The sequence below is a fragment of the Homo sapiens genome, chromosome 4, assembly GCF_000001405.40.
Source record: "Homo sapiens chromosome 4, GRCh38.p14 Primary Assembly".
Taxonomy (NCBI): domain Eukaryota; kingdom Metazoa; phylum Chordata; class Mammalia; order Primates; family Hominidae; genus Homo; species Homo sapiens.
The window spans coordinates 128,417,703-128,432,234 of record NC_000004.12 but is presented as its reverse complement, the minus strand read 5'-3'; the positions used below and the strand labels follow the sequence as shown (position 1 = coordinate 128,432,234).

General features: G+C 38.2%; 1 long non-coding RNA gene across 1 annotated transcript in view; it reads right to left on the bottom strand.

The window, feature by feature from the left end:
- LINC02615 (long intergenic non-protein coding RNA 2615) overlaps positions 1 to 4,219 on the bottom strand; it is a 91,383-nt gene extending 87,164 nt beyond the window's left edge. The window contains exon 1 of the long non-coding RNA NR_125882.1: positions 3,937 to 4,219. This is a non-coding gene — a long non-coding RNA (long intergenic non-protein coding RNA 2615). The remainder of the gene's footprint in view (positions 1 to 3,936) is intronic.
- Between the last annotated feature and the right edge of the window lie 10,313 nt (positions 4,220 to 14,532).

Here is a 14,532-nt window from a genome sequence, read left to right as displayed (position 1 = left end):
AATAAAAACCACAATGAGATACCATCTCACACCAGTTAGAATGGCAATCATTAAAAAGTCAGGGAACAACAGGTACTGGAGAGGATGTGGAGAAATAGGAACACTTTTACACTGTTGGTGGGACTGTAAACTAGTTCAACCATTGTGGAAGTCAATGTGGCAATTCCTCAGGGATCTAGAACTAGAAATACCATTTGACCCAGCCATCCCATTACTGGGTATATACCCAAAGGATTATAAATCATGCTGCTATAAAGACACATGCACATGTATGTTTATTGCGGCACTATTCACAATAGCGGACTTGGAACCAACCCAAATGTCCAAAATGATAGACTAGATTAAGAAAATGTGGCACATATACACCATGGAATACTATGCAGCCATAAAAACTGATGAGTTCATGTCCTTTGTAGGGACATGGATGAAGCTGGAAACCATCATTCTCAGGAAACTATCGCAAGGACAAAAAACCAAACACTGCATGTTCTCACTCATAGGTGGGAATTGAACAATGAGAACACACGGACACAGGAAGGGGAACATCACACACCAGGGCCTGTTGTGGGGTCGGGGGAGGGGGGAGGGATAGCATTAGGAGATATACCTAACGTTAAATGACGAGTTAATGGGTGCAGCACACCAACATGGCACATGCATACATATGTAACAAACCTGCACATTGTGCACATGTACCCTAAAACTTAAAGTTTAATAATAAAATAAAATAAAGACTTCAATCTAAGACCTCAAATTATGAAATTGCTACAAGAAAATATTGAGGAAACTCTCCAGAACATTGGTCTGGGCAAAAATTTCTTGAGTCGTACCCCACAAGCACAGGCAACCAAAGAAAAAAATGGACAAATGGGATCACATCAAGTTAAAAAGCTTCTGCACAGCAAAGGAAACAATCAACAAAGTGAAGAGACAACCCACAGAATGGGAGAAAATATTTGCAACACCCATCTGTCAAGGGATTAATAAGCAGACTATATAAAGAGCTCAAACAACCCTATAGGAAAAAAATCTAATAATCCGATTTAAAAATGGGCAAAATATTTTAATAGACATTTCTCAAAAGAAGACATGCAAATGGCAAACAGGCATATGAAAAAGTGGTCAATGCTACTGATCATCAGAGAAATGCAAATCAAAATTACAAGATATCATCTCACTCCAGTTAAAATGGCTTTTATCCAAAAGTCAGCCAAAAACAAATGCTGGTGAGGATATGGAGAAAAGGGAACCCTCATATACTGTTGGTGGAAATGTAAATTAGTACAACCGCTATGGAAAACAGTTTGGAGGTTCCTTGAAAGACTAAAATAGAGCTATTATGTGATCCAGCAATCCCACTTCTGGGTATGTACCAAAAGAAAAAAATCAGTATACTGAAGAGATATCTGCACTACCATGTTTGTTGTATCACTGTTAACAACAGCCAACATTAGAAGCAACCTAAGTGTTCATCAATAGAAGAATGGATAAAGAAAATGTCATACTTATACACAATGGAGTACTATTCAGCCACAAAAAAAAGAATGAGATTCTGTTACTTGCGACGACATGGATGGAACTGGCTGTCATCATGTTAAGTGAAATAAGCTAGGCAGATAAAGAAAAACATCACATGTTCTCACTTATTTGTGAAATCTAAAAATCAAAACAATTGAACTCACAGAGATAGAGAACAGGATAGTTACCAGAGGCTGGGAAGGGTAGTGGGAGGGCAGGGAAGAAGTGGGGTTGGTTAATGGGTACAAAATAAAATAGAAAGAAAGAGTAAGACCTAGTATTTGACAGCATAACAGGGGCACTATAGTCAACAATAATTTAATTGTACATTTTAAAATAACTAAAAGCATAATTTTAGTTATTTTAAAATAACTAAAAGAGTAATACAAAGGATAAATACTTGAGGGGATAAATAGCCAATTTTGTATGACATGATTATTATGTGTTACATGCCTGTACCAAAACATCTCATGTACCTCATAAATATGTACACCTAATATGTACCCCTCAAAATTTTTTAAATTATTTTTTAAAATGCAACCCCATTCACAAAAGCAACACAAAGAAGTACCTAGCAATAGAGCTAAACAGGGAGGTAAAAGATCCCTACAACAAGAATTACAAAATACTGCTGAAAGAAATCAGAGATGACACAAAGAAATGGAAAAATATTCCATGCTCATGGATAGGAAGAATCAATATTGTTAAAACAGCCATACTGTCCAAAGAAATTTATATGTTCAATGCCATTCCTATCAAGCTACCAATGACATTTTTTACAGAATTAGAAAAACTATTCTAAAATTCATATGGAACCAGAAAAGTGCCCAAATAGCCAAAGAAATCCTAAGGAAAAAGTATAAAGCTGGAGGTATCACACTACCTAACTTCAAATTTTACTACAAGGCCACAGTAACCAAAACAGTATGATACTGATACAAAAACAGACACATAGACCAATGGAACAGGTTAGAGAACTCCGAAATAAAGCCAGAAACCTACAACTGATAATCAACAAAGTCAATGAAAACAAGCAATGGGGAAAGGATGCCCTATTTTATAAATGGTGCTAGGATAACTGGCTGGCCATATGTAGAAAATGGAAACTGGACCCCTTCCTTACACCATATACACAAATTAAGATGGATTACATACTTAAATGTAAAACCTAAAACTATGAAAACCCTAGAAGAAAACCTAGCAAGTACCCTCTGGACATAGGCCCTGGCAAAAATTTCATGACAAAGACTTCAAAAGCAATTGCAACAAAAACAAATATTGACAAGTGGGATCTAATTAAACTAAAGAGCTTCTGCACAAAAAAGGGAATTATCAACAGAGTAAACAGACAACCTACAGAATGGGAGAAAATATTTGCAAACCATACACCAAAGGTCTACTATCCAGAATCTATAAGGAACTTAAATAAATTAACAAGCAAAAAACAAACAACCCCATTAAAAAATGGGCAAATGACGTGAACAGACATTTCTCCAAAGAAGACATACATGCAGCCAACAAGCCTATGAAAAAAAGCTCAATATCACTAATCATTACAGAAATGCAAATCAAAACCACAATGAGATACCATCTCACACCAGTCAGAATGGCTATTATTAGAAAGTCAAAAAATAACAGATGCTGGTGAGGTTGTGGAGCAAAGGGAATGCATACACACTGCTGTTGGGAACGTAAATTAGTTCAGCCACTGTGGAAAGCAGTCTGGAGATTTCTCAGAGAATTTAAGACAGAACTGCCAGCAATCCCATTACTGGGTATATACACAAAGGAACATAAATAATTTTCCCATAAAGACATGCATGCATATGTTGATCACAGCACTATTCACAATAGCAAAGACATGGAATCCACTTAGATGCCTATCAATGGTGGACTGGATAATGAGCATGTGGTACATATTATATACCACAGAATACTACGCAGCCATAAAAAACAGTGAAATCTTGTCCTTTTCAGCAACATGAATAGAGCTAGAGGCCAGTATCCTAAGCAATTTAATGCAAGAACAGAAAATAAATACTTCACGTTCTCACTTATAAGTGGAAGCTAAACATTGAGTACACATGGACAGAAAGAAGGAAACTAAATACCTGGGCCTACTTGAGGGTGGAGGGTGAGAGGAGGGTGAGGATTGAAAAACTACTTGTCAAGTACTATGCTTATTATCTGGGTGATGAAATAATCTGTACACCAAACCCCCATCACATATAGTTTACCCATGTAACAAACCTGCGCATGTACCCCTGAACCTAAAATAAAAGTTGGAAAGGAAAAAAAAAAAAAGAAGAGAATGCTAATGGATACGGGAATATGAAGCAGCCACTGTCCCCAGGGCTGGGATACAGTGCCCAGGGAAGGGTCCCCAGCCACTTCCCAATCCAGGGTTGAAATCCATACCTCACTGAAGAAGGAAGAATCCAAGTTCAGTGAATGGCAGAGATATCGCTGTGGTGTCATACTGACCAAACTTGCTGGAAACCTGCTCTCTGGAACTTGCTGGAAATTCCTGACACTTTTTAGGGTGTCAGGAAAGGCGTTCACAGGGAGATGTCACATTGGAGCATTCCACAAAGTCACCCAAGAAGAGGTGAAAGAGTACGCTGCTGGCCACTGGGTGCTGCTGGTTGCCAGCAGGACCCAGGTGCTGGAGAAACCACAGGCATTCCAGGAGCTTGCATATAAAAATGGTCAGACCAGGAAGCAAAGCCCGTTCCTCCTATCATGTCTCTCATGCACCCTCTACCGACAAAGATTAACATGGTGCCATCTGGCAAAGAAAAATATTTAAAGGGCCCATATCCATTTTCTCAGAGCATGCAATGAAGAGTGAATTTGTAGCTGTGAGGCAATAAATTGATACCCTATATGTCCTTCAAGACGAGAACATCACCTATTCTTTGCTGAGTTTGGTTCCAGAAAAGTTCAATGTTGTAATAATTATCTTCAACAAAAATGCATAGTTTGTTGGTGTAAATTCTTCCAAGAAGCATATAAAAGGGTGGTGAAAGGATTGTGGAGCTTTCCAGATCCAGAGACCCGCTATGAAGGATATCAGCTGCAGCCACGTGCCTCATGAGGATCAGCACAGAGTAAGAGAAGCCATGCTGATTTATCCTGCATCTGCTCCCATCCTCTGAGGACACCTTGCTGCCCATCAGATTTTACATTCTTGCCTAACTAATTTGAGAACATAATCTAAGCTTACTCTATGTGTATACTGTTGTCTCCTCCACCGAGCTATGTTCTACTGAAATGCTACAGCATGCCATGGAATGTTGTGCAACCATTACACATGTTATTTAAAAAGAGTTCATGATTAAATGGAAAAATGCTTGTGTTATAATTATAAGTGAAAAGGGTAGGATGCAATATTATAATATGTGAAACAAACAACACTACATAGAAATAAAGAGCAAAAAGAAATACCCCCAAATCAATCACTATCTTTAGGTGGAATCAGAGTAATTTTCTTCTTCTTCCTATTATTTTTCTGTAATTTATGTATTTACTATAGTGACCACGTACTGGTTATACCTTTGGGACAAAACAATCTATCTAACAATAACAACAACAACAATAAATATATATATATACTTTTAATTTATTTATTTACATTTATGTGTGTATCTTGAAGTCTTAAACTGAGCCAAGGTTTGGGAACCAGAATTTGACAGAGTTCCATATAGAGTATCTGAACCAGTTCTTTATAGTTTACACAAGCTAAGGCGACTGCGACCCAATAGCAGTTTGGCCAATTGAGATAGACAAATTGTCTACCCTAATGAGATAGAAAACGGCAATATATTTACCAAAAAAAATGAATTCCATTCCCTGAACTTTTAGAATTATTGAGATCTATACACATATTTGAGTAGGATATAAGAGAATATCAAATATAAAGAATTAATAAAACAAGCAGGAAATAAAATATTAGCAACTTTCTTCCTTATCAATGAGACAAGCCAATCTCCTTATAGTTTTAACAGCAGTTTGGGGGAACCGTCTAAACACTGCACTCTTAATTTAGGCACATATTTCCTGAAAACTTATATTTACATTTGCCAAAACAAAGCAGTAATTTCCCCCCAAACCATGGCTATTGCTAGAACCATGAACTTCTAAACTCAACCTCCATAATTCCTCTGCAGAAACTGGCAGCCACACCTCTCAATCCTATAATAACGTGTAAGAAAAAAAGAAACCACATAATATGAAAGATATTCAAATAGCAAATAGTAAGGATTATAAAATTACAGACTAAGTATCAGACTCTACACTATCTGTGGACTCTGTTTCCCAGCACATCGTTTTTTAGGAGCAGATGATCTAAACAGCCCAGCTGAATGAAACCTACTGGAAGGCAGTGGATGACCTCATGACATCTAAGCATCCCTTCCAGTTCTAGGACTCCATTATTTAGCAGAGATCTGATGCACAGGGAACATGTTAGAAAGAAGCATTCAGTCTGTAACAGCATTTTAAATGGAAGAAAACTTGAGTCTGTGAGGAAGAGGAATGCTAAGTTGATCTCAGTTCGCCTAGGAATGTCCTGGTTTTAGCACTGGAAGTTCTCCATCTCAGGAAACCTCATCATTATGGGAAAACCAGAATGGCTAGTCATCTTACTGTTTGGATCTGACAAAGATTAGCTTCTTTGGGTTCCCGTGCAAATTAAAAGCTTTAATTAACTAAGCCTCATAAACCTTTAAACTAGTGATACTGATTTCTGCCTCTTTCATCCAGCTCCATGTAAGCACATTCTCATTATCGCCCACACAAGGGCTGGACTCTATGGGTCCTTCCGAATGGAGATCAGGAGAAGCTGTGAATGGTTAAATCCTGAAAATGTTTGAAAAAGAAGCTTCTTCTTACCTTTATTAACTATAAAGTGGCAAGCTCTCCAGGAGAAACAGGCCTTCTTTGGGGGGTTCTCTGACTATATAACAAATGTGTTCCCCAAATCCTATAAACTCACATTCAATTATTGATGAATGTTCTCTTCAGGACACACTATTCAACAACCCAGATTACTCAATAATCAATCCTATTATTTACTTGCTACTTTTTAAAGGCAATAAAAGGGATACAAATACATGATCTACACAATGCTTTATTTTCCTGTTTCCTCTCAGCCACTTCTCTCTGGTGTTTCCATGTCTCTATCAGTCTCTGTGATTCCCAGAAAATCTCCTTCTCCATTCCCAGCCTACGTGGTTTTCTTTCCTTCTTCTCCTTCCTCTACTCTCAGCATATTAGCCTATTTCCCAGAAAGAAAGAGCTCCTTTTCATGAAGAGGTGGGAGGAGGGGATAAATTGAATTTGGAATTACAGGATTTTCTTTGGCAGTCTAGGAAAGATCAGAATTTGAGGACATTCCTGCATTAAGTATTTCTGTTCCACAGCACTCCTAATGTTGGTAAGTGTCTGACACAGATACCCATAGCATGTTAGTGCTAAAAAGGCACATAGAATGCATGAGCTCAGTCCCCTAATTTTAACAAGTGGGAAAATGAACAGAGACATTAAATAACTTATCCAAGGTCACAAAATGTCCTTTCCTTGCTATATGACTTTAAATCCTGTGACTTGTGGTTTTCAAAAGGAGTAGCTGTCAATGCCCTGCAGACAGAGACTACCAGAAATACACGTGTAGTTGAATCATGTGCTGTGGCAAGAGAGAACACACACAGTGAGGAACCATGGAGTGTCTCAGTAAGAAAGTATTAGAAAGGATTTAGTGTAGAATGTTGGTCCTGTTAGGTGATTTTTGGGAGGGTTTAAGGAAGTGGACTTTGCTGTTGATTGGATACTATCAGGAAGCAAAAGTACTTCTATGACTAAGTATCGTGATAAATCTTATGTGGAAAAAGGGATGAAGAGAGCCAGGCTAAAGCCATAATTGGTTTAAAAAAATCAGCAGTCATTCATATTAGCCAGAATAAAGGGATGTTTGGTCAGTTTTGTGTCTTGGACAATGTCCATAATTTATCTGTGTTGAAACATAATTACACAATGGTCTTGGTTTTTTTCTTTATCCTTCACGATCACAGAGTGGCCTTGTCTAATGCTGATATCCTGTGAAAATGTTTATTTCAGCAGGAGAACACCAAGAACTCTTGCTGTCTGTCCAGCTGCTGGATGTTGGGAACTGCTTTTCTCATTCTCACAATAATAAAACTACCATCTATTGAGCACTGTCAGTATTCCAGGAAAGTTTTACTCTTCATCACCAACTGAGGAGGTAGATACTATTATGATTCTAATTTTCATAAGAAGAAACAAAGGTTTGGTGAGGCTGGTAATCTCACAGCAAGTAGATGGGCAGAGCTGGGGCTCAAAACTGGGCATCTTTCTGCAGGGTGTGTACTCTGATCTGCTCCATGACACTGCAAAGCATGAACTGGAATATTGGGGTCTGGGGAGTTAACTCATGGAGATCTGTGGAACATTTTTGCAGTAAATACAATGAGGAGAATATTTATTCAGGGATTGCAGGCTTCAACGAACAACTGGATCATGAGACACTCAGGATGGAAGAAGAAAAAATGTGGAAAAAAACCCAGCTGTGACATTTTGACCATGAAACCCTTCTTGGGAATAGTCTAATAAAAGGAAAGCTGACTTATTGTTCCTTAACCAAAGAATGACTTTTATGATTTAGAATATTATTTTAAACTTGATTCTCTGTTTCCAGTGTGAATTTAAATCAACTGACAGGAGAAGGAAAAAATCAGCAGCAACTCCTCCAACATAGAGTAACTCAGTGTAGTCAAATGATGAAGCAAAATTGTTCAGGGCTTTGTGATGGGAGCAGCAGGCACCTGGCAGTACCAACAACTTAATCATAATGATCAAGAGGAAAATATGGTTATTAATAGCCTTATAAATGCATTTATTTTTCAGAATCACCTTTGGAGTGAAATGAAAGAATGAAAATCAAATTAACAGACAAAGGCCCCCATTCCACTGTTCCCACACACTGCCAGGTCCTCCTGATTTCAGTAGGTGTTCTGGGCACAGAGAAAAAGCAGGAGCTCAATATTGATCTATTTCTAGTATTAGAAAGAATTCTTCTCTTAAATTTCAAGGCAGCCAAAATCCTAGCATTACAGCAGCACTATAGCCTGTGCTTCCCTTAATAGATCCAAGTAACAGCACTGGGATAGAATATACACTCCTTTCTCAAATGAAAGAAAAAGAGAGTTATTTCAGATGTGGGGTGGGAAGTGCTGGGGAGGTGGTTTGATTAAATAAAAGGGAAAATGGGGTGTAAGATATAGCTCTTCAGCTATTGCAGCTCTTTTATTGATCTGTTCTTATCATACACATTCACTTTTTCAGGTGTCATCATTCAACAACTTACTGTGCCAGTACTATGCAACAAGCACTGGGCTAAGCTCTAGAAATAAAAAGTCGTTTAAGATTTGGTCTATACCAAAATTAACTCAAGATGGATTAAAAACTTCAGTGTAAAACCCAAAATTATAAAAACTCTGAAAGACAACCTAGGTATACCATTCAGGACATAGGCACAGGCAGATTTCATGATGAAGATGCCAAAAGCAATTGCAACAAAAGCAAAAATTGACAAATGGAATCTAATTATACTAAAGAGCTTCTGCACAGCAAAAGAAACTATCAACAGAGTAAACAGACAACCTACAGAATTGATGAAAAATTTTGCAAAGTATCCATCTGACAAAGTTGTATTATCCAGTATCTATAAGGAACTTAAATTTACAAGCAAAAAGCAAACAACCCCATTAAAAAGGGGGCAAAGAACATGAACTGGCACTTCTCAAAAGAAGACATACATGTGATAAATAAAGCTCAACATCACTGATCATTAGAAAAATGCAAATCAAGGGCTGGATGCGGTGGCTCACGTCTGTAATCCCAGCACTTTGAGAGGCTGAGATGGGTGGATCACGAGGTCAGGAGTTTGAGACCAGCCTGGTCAACATGGCGAAACCCCGTCTCTACTAAAACTACAAAAATTAGCTAGGCATGGTAGCACACGACTGTAATCCCAGTTACTCAGGAGGCTGAGGCAGAGAACTGCTTAAACCCGGGAGGCGGAGGTTTTAGTGAGCCAAGATTGTGCCACTGCACTCCAGCCTGGGCGACAGAATGAGACTCTGTCTGAAAAAAAAAAAAAAAAGAAAAGAAAAATGCAAATCAAAACCACAGTGAGACACTATCTCACACCAGTCAGAATGGCTATTAGTAAAAAGTTAAAAAGTAACAGATGCTGGCGAGATTGTGGAGAAAAAGGGATGCATATACCCTGTTGGTGAGAGTGTAAATTAGTTCAACCATTGTGGAAGACAGTGTGGTGATTCCTCAAACACCTAAAGAGAAATACCATTCAGCCCAGCAACCCCATTACTAGGTATATACACAAAGGAATATAAATCGTTCTATTATAAAGACACATGCATGTGTATGTTTATTGTAGCACTATTCACAATAGCGAAGATATGGAATCAATCCAAATGCCCATCAATGATAGACTGGATAAAGAAAATGTGGTATATATACACCATAGAATACTATGCAGCCACAGAAAAGAACAAGATCACATCCTTTGCAGGGACATGGATGGGGCTGGAGGCTATTATCTTTAGCAAACTAACACAAGAACAGAAAACCAAATACCACATGTTCTCAGTTATAAGTGGGAGCTAAATGATGAGAATACATGGACACATAGACAGGAACAACACACACTGGGGCCTATTGGAGAGTGGAGGGTGACAGTCAGGAAAAAAACTAACCAATACTAAGCTTAATACCTGAGTAATGAAATAACAAAGCCCCATGACACACGTTTACCTATGTAACAAACCTGCACATCTTGCACATGTACCCCTGAACTTAAAATAAAAGTTAACAAAAAAAGACTTGGTCATTGCCCTCAAAAGTTCTATTTTGATTGTGTCTCTCATTCTTTTTTGCATAACACCTTGGATATTGCCTTACAGGTGTTTCCTGTTAATGACAATTACAATGATATTGATGATGATAACAATGCAAGGCACAACTGTCCACAAGTATAAGTGGCAAATATAAAAAGGGCTTATCTCAGAAAAACTTTTATTCATCCAATAAGTTGATCCATAGTGAGCAACTATTTTGTGGTATAGATGCCACTCTGGGCTCTGTGAGAAGTACAGAAAAGACTTCCATTCTCAGGAAGGCCTGGTGAATCTCTAAGCCCATCCTGGAATGAGCAGAAATGCCCAGGTCAGCCTTTGGTTGCTCCAAATCTCAGAAACGACTGATGGACAGTCAAGATTTGGCCTTGCTGCCTCTGTTTCCACCATACCTCTAAGGTGGAATGGAAATTTGCCCAGGGAAGTAGCAAGGAACAAATAACAACCACATTAAGTACTTTCTTGTTATTCTCTAGGCAACAGTACCAAGGAATGCATTGTACATCACACATTTTCAAGGTCATACATTCGAGGCGACGTTATTCCTATGCCTCCCCAGAGGACAGTATCACGTGAAAGCCACACAATCATGCCAACCCATCTTCTCCAGCATGAGGCTTTAAGAAAGATGTGCCTATATGGGAAGTGACTGGATTACATCATTAACTGAAGCAACTGGTTTCATTTCAATGTGTCAATGAGCATTGTGTGGACTTAGAGTTATAGGGTTAAGTGATAAGAACATGGATAATTTCCTAGATATTTTCTAGGAGCAAATAGTGATCACTGGCTGTGGAATGGATTCTTTGTGGATGCACGTAGCTTCCTCTGCCCCAGTAAAAGGGGGGCAGAGGCCCTGTACCCTGTGGCCTCCTGGACCACCCCATGCCACTACCACCACCACCACCCCAGGTCATATCCTTGCAAAAACACCTGCTTTTCTGGATTCCCAGCTAGGCCACCTAATGCAAATTTCCCAGCAGCCTTAGCCAAGCCCCAAATTCTACATCTGTTCCACTTTTCTCTATTCCAGATCAGCACGATATCTTCACGTTTGCTATTGTGACCACTGTTGAACCACAAAGACAGGATGCATATGACTAAAGACATGCTTTTTTTTGCACAGCACATAGAAGGAATGGTCTTGGATTAAATCTAGAGTTCTTAACTTCAGTAATAAAGAAAAGAAGATGGATCTCTACTGACAACTGGGATCAGAACCTCAAGAATCTCTTTAGCAAGTCTCCTCTATCAATCAAAAGGAGCTGACAAGGAAAGAAATTAACGTTGATTGAGTACTTACTATTTGCCTGGCCCTCTCTTAGGTACTTTATTATCTATTTATCCTCCTATCAGTCTGGCAAGTTCATATTACTATACTCAATAAAATCTACAGAACATTCTGGAAGCTCAAAGAAGATAAAGAACTTACCTAAGATCACACCAACTAGTAAGTTAAAGAACTGGGCTTGAAGCCCAGGTGTATGCAATGCCACAGATGTTTACTACAAAGGAGGATCATAGGGTGAAAGACTCTCCCTCAGGATCATAGTCAATAAAGTCAATAAGTCATTCTTACTTCTTCTACAAACCTGACATAGGAGCAATGTATTCTAACCTCTTAGATTATCTAAATACATTTGTGATTTCATTAAAGCAAAATAGCAATTATGTACTTGAAATATTTATAAAATAAGTCAACTACATTTGAAAGAAAATGTAAAAGCATTGCAATTAAACAGATTTGCACACACTGCAGGGTGTTTTTCTAACAAAAGGAGTAAGGAATAATGCTGCTAATAAAAACAATGATGATCTTGTTTAAATGTCCTAATAACTCATTTAGTGCTGTTCTGAGTGAAACTGTATATTAGTAATTTCGAATAAAGTCTTTGATGAAAGATTAAATATATCTTCTGCCCATTCTCCTCTGCAAAGCTAGTGATTCAAATGGGCTAATTTGTTCCCTTTCTTCTCATAAAATGTTTTAAGTAATCTATAAATGTTTTTCTCCTTCTATTCATATTGTAAGAGGAACCAAGTGAATAATAATGAATAAGAATAAGGAGTTATACTGATATATTGGAAAGTAATGGGTGCCCCCACCATCACTACCACACACATACATACTTTGAATTCTCATTTGGGCTTCCAGTAAGAAACAGGAAGCTCTCACATCTCAGAGCAAATATTCCCTCTGGAAACTATATTAAATAGGAGCTATCCTAAAACAATTGTCTGGTCACTTTTGAAAAAATTATCATGCTAATTAATAAAAAGTAAGGTTTTATTTTTCCCAGAAATCTAAAACTGTACAATAGCTTATATATTTAGCTCTTCCAGAAGAAATTAAGTTTGGCTGATTAAATTCTATACTGAAAATTTTCTCTTTAGCATTTCAAACTTAACAATATACAGTATTTGTAATGCTTCTAAGCCTGTGTGGGGAAAACAGGCCAAGCCATTTTAATGTCTTTTGGGATACAGGGCACATAGGTTGTTTTTGACATAGATCAAAACAACTACACTCTGTGAAATGGGTAACCTACAGGAACAAACATAACCTTGGCTAACATATGAGATTGTTCATGAAAAATACTCCTGTTTAGAGGACAATATTGGTTAGAGAGACCTTTGTCTGCAGCATTGTACTGAAATTCCTAACGCAAAGCAAAACGTCCATAGTACTTATCATGCTTTCTACAGGTAATTGGCTGCCTTCTCAGCTCCTGTGGGCCTCTTAAGAAAACAGAAAACACCTTATTTTTTCTTATTACTCAGTTCCCAGTATCAGGCATTCAATAAATATCTGTTTAATGCAACGAATGACTCCATCAACCAACATTCACTCTAAAGTAATTTCTACCTTAGTGTTCATATTTCTGATATTTTCTTCATCAGGTATGACCTGACAAACATTCTAATTTCAAAAAAGCTGGTCATGTCCTGTTTCTAAAACCCTCAAAGCCAATTATGATGTAAAATATGTTTCAGGCTCAGAGAAATGAGCATCAAGGCATGTCATATTTTCTCCATAGAGAAGCCTGGCAAAACCAAGCCCAATCCCTTTCCAGTCCAGGAGCTGCAAAATTCCCAAAGAGAAAACCAAAACGAAGAGAAGCAGAAGTCCTAAATAATCTACCTGCTCCAAGTTAAGGTGAAATAAAAATCTGAGCTCCTCAAAAAAAGATGTAAACCCACTTGGAAGGTACAGCATTATCCACAATGTACCAAGGATGTCTACCCAGAAAAGACATCTCCCTCACTGGATAACCAAGCCAACTAAAGACGCCAGCCTTTTAGAACAAATGGGTTATTCTTTGGTGGTGACATTAGAAGTGTAAATTTAGGCCGTATACTAATAAAAGAGACTGATTTATTTTCAGTCCGTTTTTCGAACATTTAAATCAAGACTTTTCTCTCCTGCCTCTGGGTTAAGGGCCTCCCTGCTTCCCAAGCCTGCCTGTTTCAGGATTTGCCTTTGCCTCCTTCCATTAGTCAACTATTTCCCCTCCAACCAGACTGAGTCCCAACCACAACATTGACACTCACTCCTGAACTTTCTTCTAGGCCAGGCCAGAGTCCCAGTACAATTTTAATCTACACACCTCATTCTCAGAGCTCAGCCCAAAAAAGCACACATCATCGAGGACAGGGTGGAGAAAAGGTGACATGTGGGTGATCCATGAGCAGAACAGAAATAGAAAATATACGATATTTCTTCCAGGAGCTGATGATACTTGTGAGCACCCAGATTTACACTTTTACATCCTTCACTACAGTTTTATACTTTAGGTTGAAAATGTTCTGCATGTTGGATAGAAGTGGAAGAAGGGACAATCACAGGGCTATCACGTCAGCCTCAAACACTCACATGTGCACACACTTTGCTTGGAAATGAGAAATGCGATCACATGATTAAAGCCTCTTTTAAAACTTGCTAGTCTCTTTCAATGTTTTCTACTTAAGGCCTTATTATCCTAACACTATATGAGGTAAACCTACCACTTTGGAATAAACCTCTAATTTGGGGGTGATTGAGTATTCTTTTTTATAT